The sequence below is a fragment of the Homo sapiens genome, chromosome 3 (assembly GCF_000001405.40).
Source record: "Homo sapiens chromosome 3, GRCh38.p14 Primary Assembly".
Lineage (NCBI taxonomy): Eukaryota > Metazoa > Chordata > Mammalia > Primates > Hominidae > Homo > Homo sapiens.
The window spans coordinates 78,558,703-78,582,465 of NC_000003.12; the positions used below are offsets into that span (position 1 = coordinate 78,558,703).

At 37.3% G+C, this 23,763-nt stretch overlaps 1 annotated feature.

Annotated features, from left to right (window-relative positions):
• Window positions 22,424–23,285: an enhancer, noted in NCBI's record as "OCT4-NANOG-H3K27ac hESC enhancer chr3:78630276-78631137 (GRCh37/hg19 assembly coordinates)". NCBI's record gives its function as "activates a minimal SCP1, AML or CMV promoter by ChIP-STARR-seq in naive and primed H9 embryonic stem cells {active_cell/tissue: H9 hESC(naive and primed)}" and the evidence as "EXISTENCE:reporter gene assay evidence [ECO:0000049][PMID:30033119]".

A 23,763-nucleotide genomic window follows, 5' to 3' on the forward strand; every position in this document is an offset into this window, starting at 1 on the left:
CTGTCCTCCATTGGGTGCAGGCTTGCATGGACTAAAAACTCTGTCCAGATCCTGGGAAGGAATAGCCATGCTCTGCTTGACGAATGTTCTTCATGACTTCATTTATTATTTTCTGAATTTCTGTTCCTAAAATAATGCATTATATACCAAAATATGTTGTGTGTCACTGCTCTTGTTCTGCCGAAATATACTTAAATAAAAATATATAAATTTTGACAGAAATAATAAAATAATAATAATTTCCACCATTTTCTCAAAAATCAAAGAAAGTCTTTTCACATCTCAGAGCAATTTCCCAGCTGAATAGGTAGGCTTTATCTTTTATCTTCTATATATCTCTATCTTTAAAAAAACACAAATAAAAACTTGAAGAAAGTTAAACTTTACATGAAGAATTATGGTGAAAAAATTTAGATAAAATGGCTTTTAAAATAACCAGTTTAAAAATAAATATTTCAGAATTAAATGGCATAATACAAAGGTTATGAGAAAACCGTCCCTTTTAATTTGTCACCTTGCAGTCCCCCTTTGATTTTTTTCTTGTTTTTTTCAGATTGATCCTTTTTCTGATAGTATACCTTCCCACTGCTGAGCTCTAATTCATTAAAAGAAAAAATGTGGGCCACATTTCTGCAGCAGCCCCTTTCCTTAGATTGTAAATTCTAGGGGCAGACTTAGCTGAGGAAGGGAGGTGAATGCACAGCGGGCAGTGGGAATTGCAAGAGGTGGCTTTGCCTGCCTTGACTTTTTTTTCCATACATCTTTCTGAAAAAGAAGGTTCTGGATTTTCCTGTTTCCTTTTTATTTTTTAAGTTCATTTTCCTCAAACTCCAATTTCATAGGGATGTAAAATGTGTTTCATATCTGGCTTATTGTTTCCTCCCAAATAGTAGGAAAGGAAACAACATTTTCAAACATCTCCCATCACCCACCAAGATGTTACAGTTTGAACGTGTCCCCCTAAAAGCTTGTGTTGCAAATTTAATTCTCAATGCAGGAGTGTTGGGAGATGGGGTCTAATGAGAGGCTCCATCCTCATCAACGGATTAAAGTTGTTATCATTGGAGTGGGTTCATTACCAAGGGGGTAGGTTTGTTATAAACTAATGAATTTGGCCTCTCTCTCTCTCTTTCTCTCCCTCCCTCATCTTCTCTTTAACCTTTTGCCATGGAATAAAGGAGCAAGAAGGCCCTCACCAGAAGCCAGCTCTACCATCTTGGACTTCTGAGCCTCCAGAACTGTGAGGAAATAAATTATCCAATCTCAGGTATTTTCTTATAGCGACACAAAATGGACTGAGACACGGGGAATCATCTTCTATATATTCCCTTCTTTATTCCATTCTAATTCCACCATAAAATACTTTCTTGGACACAGTTCTGTCCATTGAACACGAGCTTAGGAAAGGTCCAAATTACCTGAGAACTTTGAGAATGTCTAGTTTGTTCTTTTGTTTCAGTGTCAGTCCTACAAACAGATGCCCAAAATATTTCATAAACTCCAACTCTTTTTCCAAACAATAATCAAATTAACAATTTTTCTTTTTTGATTTACTGTAGTAAGCTCTGTATCATAGCTCAAAAGCATACAATAAGGACTATTTCAAATATTATATTATAGTATCCAACTTGTATTGATATATTTTCTATATCCTGGTAGAAGATTTTGCTTTCTCATCTCTGCTTCCACGCACTCTGTGAATATACCTACTGTTTCATGAATCAAACGGTATTATCAACGTGTGTTTATATGTCTGCCTCTACCACTAAACTTAAAGCTTTTTGAAGGCAGAAGGTGGTTTTATTCAACTCTATGTTCTGATGGCCCACACTGCTTCTTAACAAGTCATGAGGCTCACTGGAACCATTTGAATCAGTAGGCAACACTGGCTGAGAGTATGTGTTAGCTGATTCTTACGTTGCTATAAACAAATACCTGAGGCTGGGTAATCTATAAAGAGAAGAAGTTTAATTGGATAATGGTTCTGCAGGCTGTGTATGAAGTACAGTGCTGGCATCTGCTTCTGATGAGGGCTTCAGGAAGTTTATAATCATGGCAGAAGGCAAAGATAGAGTCAGGGCATCATATGACAAGAGGGGGTTGAGGGAGGTGCCACACATTTTAAACAACCAGATCATGCATGCACTAACTGAGCTAGAACTCACTCATCACCAAGGGGATGGCACTAAGCCATTCAAGAGGGATCCCCTGTCATGTTTCAAACACCTCCCACCTGACTCCACTTCCAACATGAGATTACATTTCAACATGAGATTTGGAGGGGACAAACACCCAAACCATATTAGAGTTTGCATGTACAATGTCTTTGTCTTGCTGACTTAAATATTATCCGGTACTACTTAATATTTGTCTAGCACCTTAGAAAAACCCCACATATAGCCTACTAAATTTGGGTATAACCATAGTTCTCTGCAACAAGTACAATATTCCAAATATTACAGTATTTGAAAAGACTCAAATAATGAATTAACATCTCAAGCTCATCATGTTTTTTTGTGGTAGGGCAAAGCTTGATCCTAGATTTTAAAATACAGTTAAAAAATTCTTTTCTCCATAATCCATTCTAGTCTAGTAAACAATGAATTCTCTTTAAGAAAAATTCTTAAATTTCTTATTTTTTATTGACATATTATATAATTTTACATATCTGAGGAGTATATGTGATATTTTGAGATCTGCATGCAATGTGTAATGATGAAATCAGGGTAATTAGGATATCCATCACCTCAAACATTTATCTTTTTTTTCTGTTCTGTACATTACAATTCTTCTCTTCTAGTTATTTTGAAATATACAATAAATTATTGTTAACCATAGTTTCCCTACTATACAATCAAATATTAGAACTTATTTCTTCTATCTAACAGTATTTTTGAACTCCTTAACTGACTTCTTTTCATTGTCCCTCCCTTTTCCCTTCCCAGCCTCTAGTAACCACCATTCTACTCTCTACCTCTGTAAGATCCACTTTTTTAGTTTCCACGTATGAGGGAGAACATGCACTATTTGTGCCCAGCTCATTTCACTTAACATAACAACCTCCAGTTCCATCTAGTTGTTGCTGTCTTAGTCCATTCTCACACTGCTATAAAGAGCAACCTGAGACTGGGTAATTTATGAAGAAAAGAGGTTTAATTGACTCACAGTTCTACAGGCTTAACAGGAAACATGGCCAGGAGGCCTCAGGAAACTTACAATCATGGCTAAAGGCAAAGGAGAAGCAAGCATGTCTTACCATGGCGGAGCAGGAAAGAGAGAGGGAAAGAGAAGGGAAGTGCCACACACTTTTAAACCATCAGATCACATGAGAACACACTCACTATCATGAGAACAGTAGGGAGGAAACTGCCCTGGTGGGAGGTGAGATCTAATCACCTCCAACCAGGCCCCTCCTCCAATTATACGTGAAATTTGGATGGGGACACAAATCCAAACCATATCACTGCAAATGACAAAATTTCATTATCTTTTATGGCTGAATAGTATTTCATTTTGTGTGTACACCATATTTTCTGTATCCATTCATCCATTGATAGACACATAGGTTGATTCCATATCTTGGCTATTGTGGATAGTGCTACAATAAACGTGGGAGTGCAGGTGTCTCTGGACACACTGATTTTCTCCCTTTTGGAATACATTCCCAAGAGTAGGATTGCTGGGTCATATAGTAGTTTTGTTTTTAAGGTTTTTTTTTTTTTGAGGAAACTCCATACCATTTTATGTAATAGCTGTACTAATTTACATTCCTACCAACAGTGTACAAGAGTTCCTCTTTTTCTACATCCTTGCCAGCGTTTCTCATTTCCTGTCTTTTTGTGAAAGGCCATTTTAAGTGGGGTGAAATAATATCCCCTTGTGGTTTTGATTTGCAGTCCCCTGATGGTTAGTGACTCTGAGTATTTTTTCACATATTTGTTGGCCATTTGTATGTCTTTTTTCTTTTTTTGAGAGATGTCTATTCAGGCTTTTTGCCCATTAAAAAAATCTGATTATTTGGTTTTTTTGCTACTGAGTTGTTTGAGTTCCTTATATATTCTGGTTATTAATCTCTTGTCAGATGGATAGTTTGCAAATATTTCCTCCCATTCTACAGGTTGTATCTTTATTTTGTTGTTTCCTTTGCTTGCAGAAGCTCTTTCACCTGATGTAATCTCATTTGTCTATTTGTGGTTTTGTTACCTATGGTATTGAGGTCTTACTTAAAAAAAAAACTTTGCCCAGATCAATGTCCTGTAGTGTTTCCCTACTATATTCTTTCAGTAGTTTTACATTTTCAGGTTTTATTTTTAGTTTAATCCTTTTTAAGGTGATTTTTGAATATGGTGAGAGACGGAGATTTAGTTTCATTCTTTTGCATATGGATATTCCTTACATTTCCTATATTTTGTTATTATTGTTATTATTACTAAAGTCAGAGTTGTATTTTCTGATAGTTTTATTCTAAACTACCTAATTCCTATGCTCTTATATAAGAGCATTCCTTCAGGATTGTGTATTGGTAGAGATGAACAAAGTAAAACATGAGGAAAATGGATAAACATTATACCAGAAAATTAAACCTAAATTTTTGCATAAAATTACATGAAACATGTATGAAAATAGGATTGTGTTCGTAGGTTCCATGGTTCTGATAACAGGTATTTAATAAATGTTAGTCTCTTCTCTCTCTTGAAATATGTCCCCTTAATGAACTAGAAACTTAGTGATAAACTGAAGGAAGGCTTTTCCCCCACACTCCTACTTCATTCATTTATGTAATGAATTACCTGGGTGATTTCAGGCAGTTTTCCAACTGGGGCACACCATTTGCTGTGAACAGATTATAGGTGAGTGGAAATATTGATCATCTCAGTCCTTGAGGTATCTTTTAGTTAAGATATTGCTAGGAGTTGTAATAAGCTCCAACATTCTAATAGTGTAACACAGTAGTAGTTTCTTGCTTATGAAAGGGTAAAAAGTTAATGTTTCTGGTCAGCAGGTGGCATGTTTTCATGGGATAATTTAGCCAGCAAGGCCCTCCTAGGGGTCTGACACTTACTTTTTCACCACCTTCATTCAATCGTGCCACAGATTATTTCTGTTCATAATCCATTGTTAACCACACTTCGATACAAAGAAAGCTGGGACATATAGTCCAAAGCCAAGCAGCCACTTCTCAGAAACAACAATCCTGTGGAAAAAAAAATGCATATTTAAAGTTAGCCAGCTTTGTTACAAGGGCTTGAGCCATTGGTTTGTTATTTGCAGCCATGAACAATTATATCCACTTACCTAACTGTACCACTTAAATATTATGATTTTCTATATGCGCCATGATGTAAAGAAGGTTAAGAAGCATTAAGGGTATCATTCACTGTTACCCATGGTCTTGAAATTTTTCTGCTTGGTTGTCTTCAATTTTCTAAATTGCCAAGTATCCAATAATTGTGGATTAGGCCTAACTTCATTTCTAAAACACCATTTTGTCCCCTTTACCATTTAGTTTAGCATGTGTGGGGGAAAAGAAATGTTTCTTCCCATCTTAGTTTCATGGTAGAGGCCCCTATAATGCAAGATTAACAAGAGAAAAGCATAGAAATTAATATAATTTTTATGTGACTCGGGAGCCTTCATATGGAAATGAACACCCAAAGCTAAGTTCTTACGATACAAGACAAGACAAACAGGAACGTTATTGCCGACCTTGAGGGGGAAAAAAAAAAGACTACCTAAAACTAATAGGTACCCCCAAATCAAATTTAATCAGAGCTACAATGCAAACAAATGTTTTTCTCCTGCTTTGCTGAATTTGGAAAGGAAGGGAAAAGGAGGATTTTACCTTCTCTTGACCAGACACTACAGGCAGAGATCCAGGACATCTGACCTTGGTAAGAGTTCTTACCTTGCACCAGCTTTTTACAGGTACTCCAGGATCTCATCTGCAGGCTCTGAAGCAAGTAGGGTATCTCAGCCACCCCTTATTTGGTGCCAGAAACAGTAGGAGAAAGGAAATATCCTTCCTTCCCATCTTAGGTTCGTGGTTGAGACCCCATAACAAAAGACCTTTTAACAGGAGAAGAGCATTAAAATTGATTTAATAAATGTTTTACATTACATGGGATTCATTGGAAATGAAGACCCAAAGAAACAGATATATCCGTGTATTTTTTATGCTAGGTTTGATGAGCAAGTGGATAGTTGTGGCGAGGTATAATTCGATAGAAAAGTGTAATCTAATGGTAATAAACTAGGGGGAATCTAGCAAGGCTTGTTTGTTCAGATGTTTCTCTCTATACCTGTTTCTCTCTGTACCTTATATCTACAAAGAAAGATAAGGTTGTTCCTTTCCTCTGGGTATAGGAAGAGCACCTCTCAGATGAAGGCTTTGTGCCCAACTCCAGGGGAAGGTCAAAGAATCCTTCCTAGGTTTTTTTGGCCTGTTTCAGAGTAAGAGCAATAGGAAGGTAATGGGGGCCATCCTGCTTCTGCTGTTTTCCTAAAAGCCAAGATGCCATATTCGGTGATAGCATGTCCTGAACCCTATCACATTGTATCACTCTTGTTTCTTTTCTTCTTCATCTTGCCTTTGTGTAGTAGACACTTCACGCTTACCCATTGTCTTGTGTCTTTAACTATGCTGGGACCCTGATCTTATCCGTCAAAGTCATTGCCATTCATTCATGAGACATGCAATAATAGTAATGCAATTCTCCAGATACAAAGTAGAGAAATTATTTATCTAAATTTATTCATCTTTTAATATATAAGTAGTTACATTAGAAGAAATAGATGGCATGTAAATGCCTTCATAAAAGTATTTTCTATGAAGTAAAAATAAATAAATTAAAAATCTACTCTTTATCCCTTTCTCACTTTATCTTCAATTATATCACACTCATATTTCCATTATGCTACAGAATAAAAATATAATGTTTTATGTTATGTGAATTAGCTAAGTTAGCTCATTCTTAGACAAGCCCATAATTTCTGTGGCTAAGATTATTTTTTATCAAGGAGGCATTATTTTGTGGCTCAAGGTGAAACCCTCCATTAACATTCATTGGTGACATCTTATTTTCTTCATCCAATGTCTATAGACTTTCATACGCTATGCTACATTTGGTCTTAGCCTATCAAATCCCTGGAAGGTTGCTTAACCATTCAGTTAAGCACATAGTCCAATTCTTTGTGTTCCTTGTTACAAGAGAGTAATGTGCTTCATACAGTCATCAAAGACTCAGAACTCAGATACTGAGTCATCTTTAACACTTTGCTTTCAAGATCATCCTAAGCATTACCATCCAACAGGCAAGAGAAGATGGAGCATGGAGGGTCCCACATAGGATTTGGCAGGCCAGTCCTGGAAGGGCCTCATATCACCTCTGCTCTATTTCTACTGGGCCAAATTCAGTCCTTCAACCACACCTAGCTACAAAGAAGACTGAAAATGTGATTTGACTAGGGAAATGATTTTGGTATACAGCCAGTGAGTGTGCCATACTGTGACAACTGGCCTTTAACAAAAATCATTTTATCCATTTGTCTTGCATATTATATTAAATTCAGGCTTCAGAGTCTTCAGTCCAGCAATAATTCCCACCCCAATCTTAACGAATTAACTTCTCATTATACATGCGAAGACCTTCCTTTTCAGCCAAACTAATTTACTTTCTATTCACCAGTCTTATTACTATGCCTTTTCATAGGCCATTTTAATTCACTGCATCTGAATATACTTCCTTCATCTTCTATCATCCACTAATTTTTTGGAAACATGACTTATTAACTCATCTTTTCTACAGAAATTTTCAGGATGAATCAAGCTATACTCCTGACCATACTTACTCATGTAGCCCTTCAGTAATATACCAATTTCCCCTCTCCTTTCTTCTCTCACTCATATTTCCAGGAGCCTTGGGAAGGGTAAGAGTTAGGGGTAGAAATTCATGAACAAGTTCCATAATCTGTGTGGCTCAAGGTTAAACCTTCCATTAATGTTCCTTTGATTGCATCTTACTTTCCTTATCCAACGCCTATGGACTTCTCCATAAGCTAATGCTATATCTGGTGCTAGCCTATCCAATTCCAGGGTGGTTATTGAGTCTTTCTATAGATATGCCTATCATTTTACTCTTCCAATTCATATTATTCAGAATAGATTGGAGGAAATAGGAACATTTGGAGAAAAAAAGGCACAAATAATAAATGAATGTTTCTCATTCTTTTGTTTATCACCTCTTATTGAAACGAATGCCTGTTTTAAGTTTTCTTATGTGGGTATTTGGAGGTAAAACATTCTGGGAGAGAATGGGCACGTGCTGTCCCCAAGACAGTGGGAAGGACCCAGCACCCACTACAGCTAAGAGCAGCTGGCTTCTGTTACGACCATGACACCAGGTCTTAAACCATACCAGTGCTAAACAAATTTTTATTTTTCTTTTCTTTCTCCCATGAGGGATTCTCAATCCTGTTTCCCATTAGAATCACCAGGGAAGCATTTAAAATGCTGATCACCACATCACACTGTAGCTTCCAGCTGATGACCTGACTGATAGTTCCACAGTTCCTAAGTGAATATCCCCACTTTGCTGTCCTCTGCAGCAGGGCCTTCTCAAAACTCACTTGACTTTGTTTCTCCTCAAAGCTCCCTGGGGTAATGTCTGTTCACTCTGGCCTGTCTCTAGCTCTTAAGAGTAGAAGGAATTCGAGCTGAAAGATAATTTTCTTAAGTCAGTCCTGAAACTTGTTTTATTTTCAATGTTCTAAAAGTGACTCTAGAAAATGAAAAAGCAAATATTTCCTTTTAAAAATCAGCTTCCTGAGACATTTTTACAATCTCAAAATATAAAATTAATCATTTGTTTTATTGAGGAAATTTATTTTAAATACTTTAAAAATAGAAATTTTCCTAATGGTGAAAGTAAGCATATTTTCTAGAAAATAGATCATATTCCCACCTTTGCATGAATTAATTTACTGGTATTTACTGGGCACCTAACCAACGACAAAGATTCTCTGCTTCAACAAAATTTAGTCAGGCTTCCACATCTTCTCTTTTGTCCATCTGTGCATGTCCTTGTAAAATCCAGTTTTAGCAAAGAACCCTATTAAGCTGGTTTAGTGAGAAACCCCCGTCGTCAATATCTGATCACCCACCATAATAGATTCAGTTCCTCCTCCTTCCCCAGGTGATGTCTGCTCACCTGGCCTGTTTTCAGCTAGAATACTGTTAGGTTGGCTTAGCCAGAATCGCTCTTACCTCTGATGTTTCCTCTTCGTAATTTTCCAGCCTCTGACCCCACTTGATCCTTGACTATAAATTGCAGTGGTCCCTGTACCTTTCTTACAATGGTCCTGAATAAAGTCTTCTTTATTGTGCTTTTACATATATAATTGAATATTTTTTATTCTTTAATATAAGGATGTATTACCTTGTACTCTGCCCTGTGAGAAACGAAACAGAAGCCAAAACTAGACCGAGTTCTTTTTTAGAAAAAAAAGATAGATAAAATAGTTAGGATAATAGTACAGAAATATGTTAATATTCACTGAAAATGATTGACATTAAATAGATGATGAAGAACTCTCTCAGAAAAAGAGACAGTAAGTGGCTGACAATAGTGAGGAATAGCCAGAGGAGTTATCTTGATAATAAGAAACTACGCTGTGTTTATTGGTCTTGAGAAGCCTAGATTTCTTGTTGGGAAGGAATGGAGGAGGAGGTTGAATTATTACACCTGGGCCATTGGTGAAGTTACATAAATGCAAAAACTGAAGAATTTAGACGTTACGCTGTAGAAAATAGCAAAATTGGTTAGAAGAGAGGCAGTTATGGCCTGTAGTTCATTTGATTAAAATAACAATGACGTTTATTATGCATATTATTTTACAGCGTGGCTGGAAATACTCAGGGCAGGTGGTGGGAAGGTGTGAACAAGTACCTGAAAACAAATTATCCAGAGATGATTGGCTTTTTAAAGCATTTAGATACACCTGGGCAGATATATGCAAAGTATAACAGGCCAAAATGTTTACCAACTGCTCCCACTCATATGTTAACAAATCTTTATTCTGATGGACAGATCCACCTCTTAGGAGATTAGTCAGTGTGAATCTGACCTGAAACGTAAAAACTCATTTACAAAACTCTTTGGGTGTGTTAAGCCTTGTGCTAAGGATTTTATAAGTACTAATTTATTTAATACTCCTTTATTCCATAAAGTGGGTACCATTATCCCCATTTTCCAGATTGAAAAACCTGAGGTAGAGAAGCTTAATCACAATCCTGCAGGTCTTTAGCTAGCAGCTTGTGGTTTATGGCTTTGAACCCTCATCTACCTGATTTCAATAACTACGCCTTTAGCTAACTCATACATTGACAAAGTTAAGCTTCTGAGACCGCAACGGTGGGTAACAAGCCTCAATTATGATAAATTTGCCCTCGTGCTTGACACCCTTTGCACCCTATTGGCAAAATCAGAAATTTGTGCCCTAACTGTGCAGTGCATCTCATCATTTCAAAAGCTGCCTTCCTCTTCAGCCTCTTCAGAAATGCTTCACCAGTCTCCATACCTGAGCCACTTGGGCCTTTCAGTTCTTGGGAAAAGCTCAATTCCCTCTTGCCTGAAAACTTTAATACCCTTCCCAGATTCTAGGAAGTTTCACTTCTAGCATCCTTCTCACACATTGCCTAAAGATAACTAAAATTTCATAAAACATGAGATCGTTATTTTCTACGGCCTCATTTATTCCCACTTCTCTCACAGTTTCCAATTACTACATCAGCTGAATTCTATCCTGTTTCTCATCCCAAAGTGAAGATGAGCAGCAAAACTTTCCTGCCGTATTTTTTAAAAAGCATAAGTATATTAGCAGCAGTGAATCAATATAGGTTTGCAGCAACCTCAATTCTTGCCTCCTCAGGAGAAAGAGTTCAACCAAGGGGGCTTAAGGCAGTGAGAGACAGAGGCAAGTTTTAGAGCAGAAGTGAGAGTTTATTAAAAACTTTTAAAGCAGAAATGAAAGGAAGTAAAGTACGCTTGGAAGAGTTGGCCCTCCAATCTCTCAAGCAGGTGACTTGAGAGACTGAAGCGTGGTGTTTGGCCTTTGACATGGGGCTTTATATGTCGTCAGGCTTCCAGGGTCTGCATTACTTTTCCCCTGATTCTTCCCTTGGGCTGTCCATATGCACAGTGGCCTGTTAGCACTTGGGAGGGGCCCAATGCAGTGTGTTTACTGAAGTTGTGCACATGCTCTCTCCACACATTTTTCCCTTACCCGTTGAACGTTGCTAGAGGAAGGTGATACACAGTGAAACGCTGCCCTTTTGCCTCTTAGTGCGCATGCTTGAGCACACTTGCCCAGCTCCTGAGATCTTATCAGGAAGCTACTGATCACTAGCTTTAGATGTTTTCTATCTACTGGGAGACTGCCTTTCCCTGGTGTCAGCTGTGACCAATTACTATTTTAGCGAGACAATTTAACAACCACTTGACCATTACGTGATGTTGCCTGACATTCCTGGTTTGCAGGGGGTGAGGGTGGGGTGGGTGGGGGGGTTCTCCTGCCCTGCTTATGTCTTCCCAACTACCTACTCTAACAAGTCCAGTGGGATTCTCCCTGGCTCACTTTCTCCGTGCTCTCTCCCCCTCACTCTTCTACTCCAAGTTAGAGCCCTTAGGATTCACAGCTTTCCTAGGACAAGGGAAATAAATGCTTAATGTTTTGATTTTCAAAGAAGGAATGGCAAATCTTCTCTTTCTGCTCTTGCTAAGCCCCAGACAACAATCCAAATTAGAGTTTAAAATAAATAAATAAAAATTATGTGAACCAATTCCTAAAGCACAGAAGGTAGTAAAGTCACCAAAATGTTGAAAGATTTCACTAATCAGAAAATTACCTCTTTGATCTCTTACTCACATAGAGCCACCTTAATCAGGCTGACCTGATACAAACACGCCTTTTGAAAAACAGCTTTAGGCAGGGCGTGGTGGCTCACGCCTGTAATCCCCGCGCTTTCGGAGGCCTAGACGGGTGAATCACCTGAGGTCAGGAGTTCAAGACCAGCCTGACCAAAATGGTGAAACCCCGCATCTACTAAAAATACAAACATTAGCCAGGTGTGGTGGCACATGCCTGTAATCCCAGCTACTCTGGAGGGTAAGACTGAAGAATCGTTTGAACCCGGGAGGTGGAGGTTGCAGTGAGCTGAGATTGCGCCATTGCACTCCAGCCTAGGCAACAAGAGCAAAACTCCATCTCAAAAAAAAAAAAAAGAAAGAAAAAGAAAAATTGCTTTAGCGATGATTTATTGGTTGTTTAGAGAATAGAAATTTAATTTCAGATTAAAAATACATAGGATTACGATGTCTACCTTCTAGCTGGTTGGGACCCTCAGGTATAGACTTCAGTATCGAGTTAAACAAGACCAATCATGGCATGTTTTAGACATGTTCAGATATGTAAATCAAAATCATGTTTATCAGCCCTAAATGTACAGAATCTAAATTTAATTCACAAGAGGAGGTTTGTGAGTTAATGAGCGTCAGTAATCTCATGGACTCTGAATGTGTTTTATTCTTTCAACATTCAACATTCAACAGAAGATCTGTTACAACCTGCAGATGGAAAAATTCCCAAATCCAGCCTAAAAATACGTGAAGGAGGGAGACAGAAGAAGGAGAAGCAAGTGAAGAATAGAGGAAGTTACTGGGACAAATACAGCAGATCTTCATACTATAATGTAGAATATGAAGAAACACATAAACCACTTGCATTTGTTCATTTCAAGGATCACTAGTTGCTCTTAATATGGGTTTAGGAGTTTTGTTCTACATATTTTGAGTGTGAAGGTAAAATACTTTCTTCCTTTCATTTTGGTGTCTGGAAATGGGCCCACTTGGAACTATCTACCATAGAATACAGACAGGACTGAACAGGCTTTCTAAAGAAATTAGCTGATTTTGGCAAAGTACTGGGTGTGCAGCACCAACTGCTTACCAGTCTATGAGTGGCTTCCTGTTCTTTCATTTACCACTAGGACTTCTTAGCCTTTGATCGTCTTTCTACTTCAATTGTTATTCTTTAGTTCCACAAATTATTCACACACACTACATTTGGTTTTCCCTTTCATCTTTCTTATCCACTCTTTCTTCTATCCACTAGTTAATCTTTATTGAATTACTGAATTATTTAGGAAGACCCCCTAATGTGTAATGTTATCCCAATCCCACTTTTCTTCGCTGAAGGTCATATAAATAACACTATAATTTGCCACAAAATATCTTGTCCTAACTATTGCTTTTAGATTTACAGTGCTCCAGAGTTAATATGAAAACTTTGAGAAACTCATTATTACTATATGTTTTGAAATCAAGAAAAATTGATCTTTACAAAATTCTAAAGACCTTAAATATTACAATCAGTGACTATAAAGAATAACAGATACAAGATTTTGTTAAATAACTTGGAATATAATTACAATTTGCCTTAATGAAGTTAATGTTAATTATATTTGAAAAATTAATCCCGGGAGGAGACTCTGAAAACTTGAACCATAGGTTCAGCCACACCGTGAATTTTTTAGAGTATTTGATACATTTTACACATCAAACAATATACCAGGTACTGTGTTAGATATTTTAGCTATTACAACATTAATACTCTGCAACTGTGTGTGGTAGATTTTATCATTCTCTACTTTTTCACAACAGCAAAGTAATGATCGGAGTAGTCAAATAACAAACCCAATTGACACAGCTAAGATGTACACAGATTGGAATCCAGTATTGAAGACATACCACTCTGCCTCCCTCAGCTAGATGCTACCTGATACAGATTTTTTTAAATTTCTCCTTTAAAATTTCTTTTGTACATAATAATATTGAATAACTTGTATTTTACTACATCTTCTTTCTATTTTTTTAATGAAATAAATGCATGTCCAATGTTCTAATACTGGTATAGGGGCAGAAAAATACCTTTTCCTTATCTGTCTTAGGTTCATGACTGAAGCCCCTATAATGAAAGACAGAATAACAAGAGAAAAACGAACTAATTTACATAATATAAGTTCTACATGACACAAGAGCCAACATAAGGAAATGAAGACTCAAAGAAGCAATTAAACCTGAGGGTCTTTTAAATATAAGGTATGATAAAGAGTAGATAGTCATGAAGGAATTTAATAGGGCCAAGGGGCGTGATTTAATGGTAATCTACTGGGGGAAACTTAGCAAATCCTGTTTGTTCATATTCTTCTCTGTGTCCCTGTGTCTTCCAAGATGAGAATGCGCTTTTCCTCTGGGGATTGTGAAGGCACCTCTCATATGGTCTCATACCCTGCTTCACAGAAGAAGGGCGAGTGAAGGTAAGAGTGAACTTCCTGCTTTTGTGGTTTTTCCCCAATACCTTCAGCTTAAAATATTCAATATGCCACGGTGCCATATGTTGGGATAGCGTGATGTCAGCCCCATCACTTGAATAACGCTACAAGGCTAAAATAACACCAACAAAAAGCAATACCTTGTTCACCTCTCCCCACCCAAGTTCTATTTTAGTTGTTTGTTTTCATATTTGTTTCTATATTTATAAATAACATTTATATATTATTTTAGTTTCAAAGTTTAATCATTTATTTCTCATTTTGAGAATTCAAATTTAGCTCTTCACTAGCCATTTCTCAAAAACATACACTTCCCCTTTCTACATCCATTTTTCATTTTTTAATGAGGCTTTTAAATTGATACTCAATGTTTACCTTATGGTGATAATAACAATATTGTTCATACCTTAGCCATAGCATACTAGAACATTTCCTTTCCTGTACAGTCTTTGTATAGTTTTTCTGTAATGAATGGTTACTAACAAAGGTTACAATTCCTTTTTTTAGTTTCTTATTCTATTGAGAATGTATTATGATATGATAAGTTGCATCTTACTGGTTTCTCTTGAGATCACAAAACCTTCATATTTCTCAGATCTGAACAGGCAGCCATCACTTGAAACATCTGCTTTCCATGTTCACAGAATTGACTAAGAGCTATTATAGGCCCTCATCTCACCTCTGTTCTCTTTGCCCATATATATTATCTCTCTCTCTCCATAGATAGATAAATAGATAGATAGATAGATAGATAGACAAACAGATAGGTAGATGCTGACATATGTGTGTGTATATGCAATTACAACATTTGTATGTATACATATATCAGTATGTATCTATCAGCATGTATGTATATGTATCATGTATATATATGTGTATATATATATGTGTGTATATATATATACAAACACACAAATACACATGCTGATACAATTTCAGCATATATATATACACACACACAAATACACATGCTAAGACAATTTCAGCATATATATATACACACAGCATATATAAATACACATGCTAAGACAATTTCAGCGCATATATATATATGCGCTGAAATTGTCTTTACCACATAATTTAGCTCTCATCACAGCAGCATATGATGTTGTTTTGCATAGTAGTATCTTACCCTTTTTTGGTATTTATATTATGGATCAGGGAATTTGTATTTTCATTGGATCCACATTTGTGCTGAGCACAATACATTTTGCAGAGTGGTCATTTTGTAAAATCTTATTGTTGGCAATTAATGCAGCAAAAAAATTTTTTTTTTTTTTGCCTTTCCTTGAATCTGAAGAAAAGGCAAAAAAAAATTGGTTTACTGCAGCATAAGAGGGGTGATGATGGAGCCGTTCTTAGCAGAAAAAGTGTAACCCAAAAGCAAAGCTTTTTATTTACAATTGTATTTGTTTTCAAGATTTACTTTTTATATATTATCAAAATAAATCTGAGATTTTTAAATGTTGCATGATAAATTATATGAAAAAAGGGAATTTCAAATTTGCTAACATAAAACAAGTAGACAAATTTGGCGTTTAGGCAATTTGCCATTGAGCTGGACTTTCAGCAGGATAAGTTATTCTGATAATTTAGTAAAATTATTGGTAATCATTTTAAAGGAGGACAGGAAGGATTAAATTAAAAATCTCTTCAAAACTTCTATTCTGAAATAGCAGGGTGTAGGGGACAAAATTAATATATTTTCTTCACTGATCACAAAGTTCATGGCTGAGGCTCCTATAACAAAAGACAGATTGACAAGAGAAAAGCATACAAATGTATTTAATATAAGTTTTATTTGACATAGGAGCCTTCAGAAATGAAGACCCAAAGAAACAGGGAAATTTGTGTATTTTATGGACAGTTTTGCAATACATATTATTTAAGGACAACAGGGTATGATCTAGCAGAAGTAAACTAGGGAGAATTTAGTAAGACTTGTTCATTCATATTCTTCTTGGAGTCCTTCTCTGACACTCCTTTCCTCTGGGCATAGAACAAAACACCTGTCACATGAGGGTCTTCAGCAAGGAGAAAGATCAGAAAATGACCTTCCTAGGTTTTATGCCCTGCTTCAGGGGAGAAGAGTGAGGGGAAGATGAGAGTGACCTTCCTACTTCTGCTGTTTCCTCAAATGCCAAGGTGCCATATCTTGGGGTAGCATGTCCTGTTTTTTTTAACAATACACGAAGCTAAAATTCTAAACTGTTTATAAAACTTCATGGTCATGTAGAAGCAGCAAATCCATATGGGTCTGCAGTAATTGGATTCTTACCTCCTGGGAGGAAAGACTTCATCTGAGGGACATAAGGCAGAGTGATAGACTGAGGCAAGTTTTAGAGCAGGAGTGAGAGTTTGTTAAAAAGTTCTAGAGCAAGAACGAAAGGAAGCAAAGTACACTTGGAAGAGGGCCAAATTGGCAACTTGAGGGATCCAAGTGTGCTGTCCGACCCTTGACTTAGGGTTTTATGCATTGGCATGATTCTGGGGTTTGCGCTTCTTCTCCACGGATTCCTCCCTTGGGGTGGGATATCTGTATGCACAGTGGCCTGCCTATACTTGAGAGGCACCACATGCACAGTATGTTTGCTGAAGTTATGCACATGCTCATTTGAGATGTTTTTCCTTTACCAGTTGAATGTTCCTAGAGGAAAGTCACAAATTAGTTAAACTCAGGCATTTTGCCTCTTAATGCACATGCTTGAGTCCATTCACCCAAATCCTGAAATCTTATTGGGATGCTGCTGATCATCAGCTTTAGGTGTTTCTATCTATTGGGAGACTGCCTTTCTCTGGTGTTGGTTGCAAACAATTAATTTAGAGAGCCCATTTAACAGCCACCTGACCACCACCTGATGCTCACCTGACATTCCTGGTTTGTGGGGCTAGGGGAAGGGGCATTTCCTGCCCTGCTCATGTCTGCCTAGCTACATACTCTAACAGTCATAGTTGGAAGAAAACATTTCCTCTTTAAATCAAAAATAATAAATTTAAGAAGAAAGGTATTAGGAGTGAATTACATTATGAAGTTTCTATATTTATTTTATGGTAAAAATTTAGGATCTCAATCACTTATTTCATTTATCTGTGATATTCCGGCTGCAGTGGAAAGAATTTTAGAATATGAAAATGAAAGAAAATTAAAATGTCAATAAAATACTGTTGTGTATTTTTTTCATGTTTTATCTCTCAAGATTGTTTTATAATCAAATTTTCTTTTCTATGGTTTTAGACTTATTACTGAAGATGCATTAACAGAAAACCTAGCAAACTGTCTTCTTAGAGCACTTCTTCTCAGTAACTTGGGAAGGTTGGCACATAAAACAAAAGCTGAATCCTTTCCTCTGTCTGAATTTTTTAACCTAAGAAACAATGCAAATAACAGGAAGACCAATTTTCAGAAACAGAAAGAGAAATAGAGAGAGGAGAGAGAAAGACAGAGAAAGAAGAAGAGAGACAGAGGCAGAGAGAGGCAGACGAAGACAGAGAAATGGAGTCACCCATGTCTTCTTTGCCTAAACTCAAATTAAAATTCAAAATGATTTACTTTCAAAAGTTGAGGAGAGAAGAAAAAAGTTAGGTTCAAGAAACGTGCAGTCCTACTAAATAAATAGAATGAAGACTATTGTGATTTTAGAATATTTCAAGTGTAAGGAGTCAAATAGAGTAGCAGTTGAGAACATAAGCCAAGTAGACACACAGCCTTGATTCAAATCTTCCTTCTGCCACAGCCTACTCCTCTGAACTCATGTAAGCCCTTGGACATTTCTAAATCTCTTTCCTCATTTATAACATATAGCAAAGAGTAATACATTCATATAATTATTGAGGCATCAATAAGACTACACATGAGACAGTGTTCTGCAGAGAACCTCATAAACTAGGAAGAAAAATTAACTATCACTCTTAGCAATTTCACCAATTAACTCAACAAAATTGTTCAATGCCTACTGGCAATGTCATAGAAGTTGCAGATAGAGCAGTAAATAGATCAAATTTTTTACCCTCTTGGAGGTTACCTTCTAGTGAGAGGACACAGCAGTAAACAAGCAAATATAAATGTCTGAAAAATGCTGTAGAGAAAAATAAAGCAGGATCATGTAAAATATTTTTCTCATGGATAACATTTTGATACTGATTACAAATGGTAAAGATTCATCCAAATGTATATATCTAGGTGTATACATATAGCCTAGGTGTGGAGTTGGCTATACTGCCTAGGCTTGTGTAAGTACACTCTATCATGTCCACACAATGAAGAAATCACCTAAGGATGATTTCGCAAAACATATCCCCATAGTTAAGTGACATGTGACAGCACAAAACACTTACAAGAGAAACAGAGAAATGGGGCAGTGGAAGGAGATGTAGGCACTAGAGAGAATTTTGAGATTGAAGATGTTGTAACATGTTTTTTCAGCTTATAATTGTATAAAAAAATGATTATGAAGAGAAGAGAATTGCTAGATTGATGACCTTGAATAGATGAGAGGGAGTGGGTTCAAATGGACAAGTCGAGGGGCTGTTGTTAAAGTGGATGAGCCAAGAGAGTTCATCCACTTTAACAGGACTGAGAGCGAGTGAGTGAGTACTAATGTGGGCGTGTTGGTGGTTGGTAGAAGATGTGGGGAAAATTCACCTCTGTTTTGTTTTTTTCCTAATGAAATAACAAGCGAGACCATTTGCTGAAGCATTAATCCTTGGGAAAGATGAGTTAGAAGTTTGGGGAATGAAAGTGAGAAGAGTGAAAAGTTGAAGAAAATACAGTAGAATTGACAAGAGTGATTTTAATGACAGATGATTGAATCCGAGTGTGTAATGAGAAAAACAAATGGATGTAAGGGAGTGATGGTCTGCTTGCATAAATCTTGCTAGCTTCTTATTTGAGGGAACAGAGGCTGAATCTCTGTTATTTCCTGCCCAGAAAGAGTTTGGGCTTTAAAGGTGTTGTCTCTTCTTTTTCCATCTCTTCAGAAAAGTGATAACTTTTCTCAAGGCCCACAGAAATAAAAGACTCCTAATCTTTCACTTAGGAAGGTGGGTGTCTACTTACTCTACACTGGCATATTTTAGAGACCCTCTCCAGGGACCAGCCCCAGAATAAAGGGTTTTCTCCTAAATAACCTTTTGTTATTGCTTGTGCTGCGTACAGTTGCCTTTCCTACTCAACTTACACAATATACAGTATATATTTTTAAGGGCCTATGTTATACCAGGCTTTGTTCTAGGCAATGTGAAGAAAACACAATAATTCCTACCCTGAAAGTGTTTTGCTTTTTCTGGGGGAACAGTTGATTAACAAGGAAAATGCCAAAGGGACAATTACTATGGGAAAAAATTGGCGTGAAAAGAGAAAGTATGGTTGGTGAGGTACAATTTGAAATAGAGTAGTCACAGAAGACCTTATTTAGAAAGCAAAGACATGACATAAGTGAGTGAGATATGGGGATAGCTAAAAAAATAGATCAGTCTTGGAATATCAGATGAAAATATCCAGAGGTGGGAGCTTAACAGATTTATTCTTGGAAGAGCAAGGAGGCAACGGCACTGGAGGCCAAAATTGTAGGTGATACAAGTAAGGAGGAGGAGAGCTCACGTTGTATTGCCTTTTTACTGTGAGTGAGACAAGAAGCCAAGAGATCTTTGAAAGGAAGAAACGGTGACCAAAACTATAATTTAGAAGTATACCTATGGTGGTTGCACTGAGAACACATTTACCTTGCATTAGAAGGTAATGAGATGTTTTTGGTAAACCAAAATAGCTCCAGACAAAAGCCTAATACAAAGGCAAACCAGACCCTGAGAAAATGGGGAACCTAAGCAGGAGATGTTGGTTCAATCACTAAAGGTTCTTGGGAGTGAGATATTTCTAGGCCAACATGCTATCCTGGAAGTCCATGGAATACAGTCAAAAATATGATCTATTTCCTTGACAGTGAGCATGAGAATGTACTATGTTTTAGGTAGATTCCTAGAAGGCAATAGCACCTGGAAGTTCATAAATAACTGTGCAGGACTAGTTATAATTCTGACCCCAGATTCCAAAAATGAATGGCAATATTCAACTTCAGTCCACTGATCTCTCTGAATTTTATGCTTCAGAATCCCCCTTTGGATTTAGTAATCTCCGGTAACTCCTGGATAATTTTAGGTGGGGAAAGACTAGCAATTCAATACCTGCAAAGGGATGAGGTCCTTAAGGAAATTGGGGAAGGTATTAAAATACATATGTTATTTAAATTGGTAATGCAGTAAATTCAGGTGATACACCGTGATGCATTTCATCACTCCATTAAAATTCTATTTTTACTCTCTATAAAACATTAATATAAGAATACTAATATATAAATTATAAATAGATGGAAGCAGAGGCTTGGTATACAATGTTTTGAAGTCAAATCTATATCAATACACTTTTTTTTGGAGACATGGTCTCACTCTGTTGCCTAGGCTGAGTGCAGTGGTGTGATCACAGCTCACTACAGCCTTCATCTCCCTGGCTCAAGCGATCCTCCCACCTAAGTCTCCCAAGTAGCTTAGACCACAGGACCACAGGAATGTACCACACCTTGCTCATTTTTTATTTTTATTTTTTTGGAGAGATGGGACTTTTCTATGTTGCCAGGCTGGTCTTTAAGTCCTAGGCTCAAGAAATACTCCTGCCTTGGCCTCCCAAAGTCCTGGCATTGCAGGCATGATGTACCACACCCAACCAACAATGGACTTTTGTCTGTGTATGAGTCCTCGCCTAATTGTGTGAGTCCTAGCCTAATTGTGTGACCTTGGGCAAGACATAGAGCCTCCTTGAGCCTCCATTATCTCATATGCAAACTAATATTTTAAGGTATGATGAATATTATATTTTAAAATCTGTTTGAAAATATGTTGCAAACTGTAAAATTCCAGAAATATTGTAAAGAAGCAGGGAAATACTCTACAAGTTTTTAATTTTATACTTTCCCTACTAAGCATTTATTTCTACTATGGGGATTAAATATTAGTATATTTTCTATTCTTATACCTGATGGTTTTTCTTGTTTTGGTGAAGTTACAAAGAAGGAATAAACAACAAAAAAATTAAAGATAGGAAGAGAAAGCAAGGGCAATTATTTGATTGTTATAATCAAGTGAGTGATTTAGGCCCCAATTATAAGCAGAAAAGTTTCCCCCTGAACTTCAGGTTTCTCTCAAAAACTCCTGTAGCTTCTCTGGCACATACAATTAAGAGGAAGAAACATCACATTTCTGGTTTATAAAGTAAAACCTGAGAACCAGTGACTTAAATTGCGTGTTAGGGGCAGCAGATTCTTTACAGCTGAACAATGTACTACTTGAATCATTAAGGATGATACTGGACATATAATATAGGGTTTTGTTTACCATCATCCTATTTCAAAAACATCATCCTCCCATCTCAAAACATATGCTATTGCTTAAATGCTTGGCAGCTCCCATTATTTTTAGATCTTTTTTCTTCCTTTTCCCAAGTTTATAGATTTTCTGTTTACTAGAGACATTTAAGAAGTTCTGATTACTGCTGTGTAACAAACCACTTGAAACTTAGTGGCATAAAGTATCATTAATTTTATGCCCATGGATTCGGTAGGTTAGAAATTCAAGGCACAGCTGGGAAATCTGTGCCTTGAGCTTACAGCTCTCTATGAAGTCTGGGGCTTCAGCTGGGATGTTGTGATACTGTGATGACTCAAATGGCTAAGAATTGGAATCTTCATCAGAATCCCATAACAGGCTGGACTGGATTGGGACTGTGGACCCACACGAGAGCTTTATTGGTAGCTAGGATTTTTACAGCAGAGCAGCTGGATTCCAAGGGTAAGCTTCTGCAGAGGAAATGTGGAAAGAACCAGGAGGAAGTTGTATGAACTTGAATGACCTAAACTCAGAAGTCAATAACCTTTCTTTATTAATTGGAGCAGTCACAATCTTACCATGATTCAAAGGGACAGGTCATAGACCTTGCCTCTTGATGAGAGAAGTGTCAAAAATTTGTAGCCATTTAAAAAGTCCCCATAAATATATACACTTATTATGTACCCACAAAAATTTTAATAAATACATAATTAAGTACATTAAAAAGTTACCGCATAAACTATATATTTTCATGCGCGTTCGTGTGAAGAGACCACCAAACAGGCTTTGTGTGAGCAACATGGCTGTTTATTTCACCTGGGTGCAGGCGGGCTGAGTCCGAAAAGAGAGTCAGCAGAGGGAGATAGGGGTGGGGCCGTTTTATAGGCTTTGGGAAGGTAATGGAAAATTACAGTCAAAGGGGGTTGTTCTCTGGTGGACAGGGGCAGGGGTCGCAAGGTGCTCAGTGGGGGTGCTTTTTGAGCCAGGATGAGCCAGGAAAAGGACTTTCACAAGGTAATGTCATCACTTAAAGCAAGGACAGGCCATTTACACTTCTTTTGTGGTGGAATGTTATCAGTTAAGGCGGGGCAGGGCATATTCACTTCTTTTGTGATTCTTCAGTTACTTCAGGCCATCTGGGCGTATACGTACGTGGAAGTCACAGGGGATGTGATGGCTTGGCTTGGGCTCAGAGGCCTGACATTCCTGCCTTCTTATATTAATAAGAAAAATAAAACAAAATGGTGTTGAAATGTTGGGGTGGCAAAAATTTTTGGGGGGTGGTATGGAGAGAGAATGGGCGATGTTTCTCAGGGCTGCTTCAAGCAGGATTAGGGGCGGCGTGGGAACATAGAGTGGGAGAGATTAAGCTGAAGGGAGGTCTTGTGGTAAGGGGTGATATCGTGGGGATGTTAGAAGAAACATTTGTCATATAGAATGATTGATGATGGCCTGGATATGGTTTTGGATGAATTGAGAAACTAAATGGAATAACAGAAGGAGAAAAACAGGTATAAAAGGTCTAAGAATTGGGACGACTCCGGATATCTGATTAGAGAGTGCCTAAGGAGATTCAGCACAGTCCTGCCAGCAAAGATTATTTATTTACTTCAAGAGTTAAGAGTGGCAGTTTGGGGATAGCACCAGGAGATATCAGCTGCGATGGCTTGGAAAAACAGTGTAAACCGGCAGTGTAAACCAGAGCAGGGCATGTATGAGTTAGTTGAGAATGGTGAATAGGAATATGACTAGACAGAAGATAGTAGGGATGACAAATTTTTTTTTTTTGAGGGGGGGCACAGTCTAAGTTGGTCTAGTGTCCGGAATGAGACTGGGGCCTAACAAAAAGGAGTATCCATACAGGAGCTCAAATGGGCTGTACCCTGTAGCATTCCGAGGACAGGCCTGAATTCTGAGAAGGGAAAGTGGTAAAAGTATTGTCCAGTCCTTTTTAAGTTGGTGGCTGAGCTTGGTGAGGTGTGTTTTTATTTTTTTATTTTTAT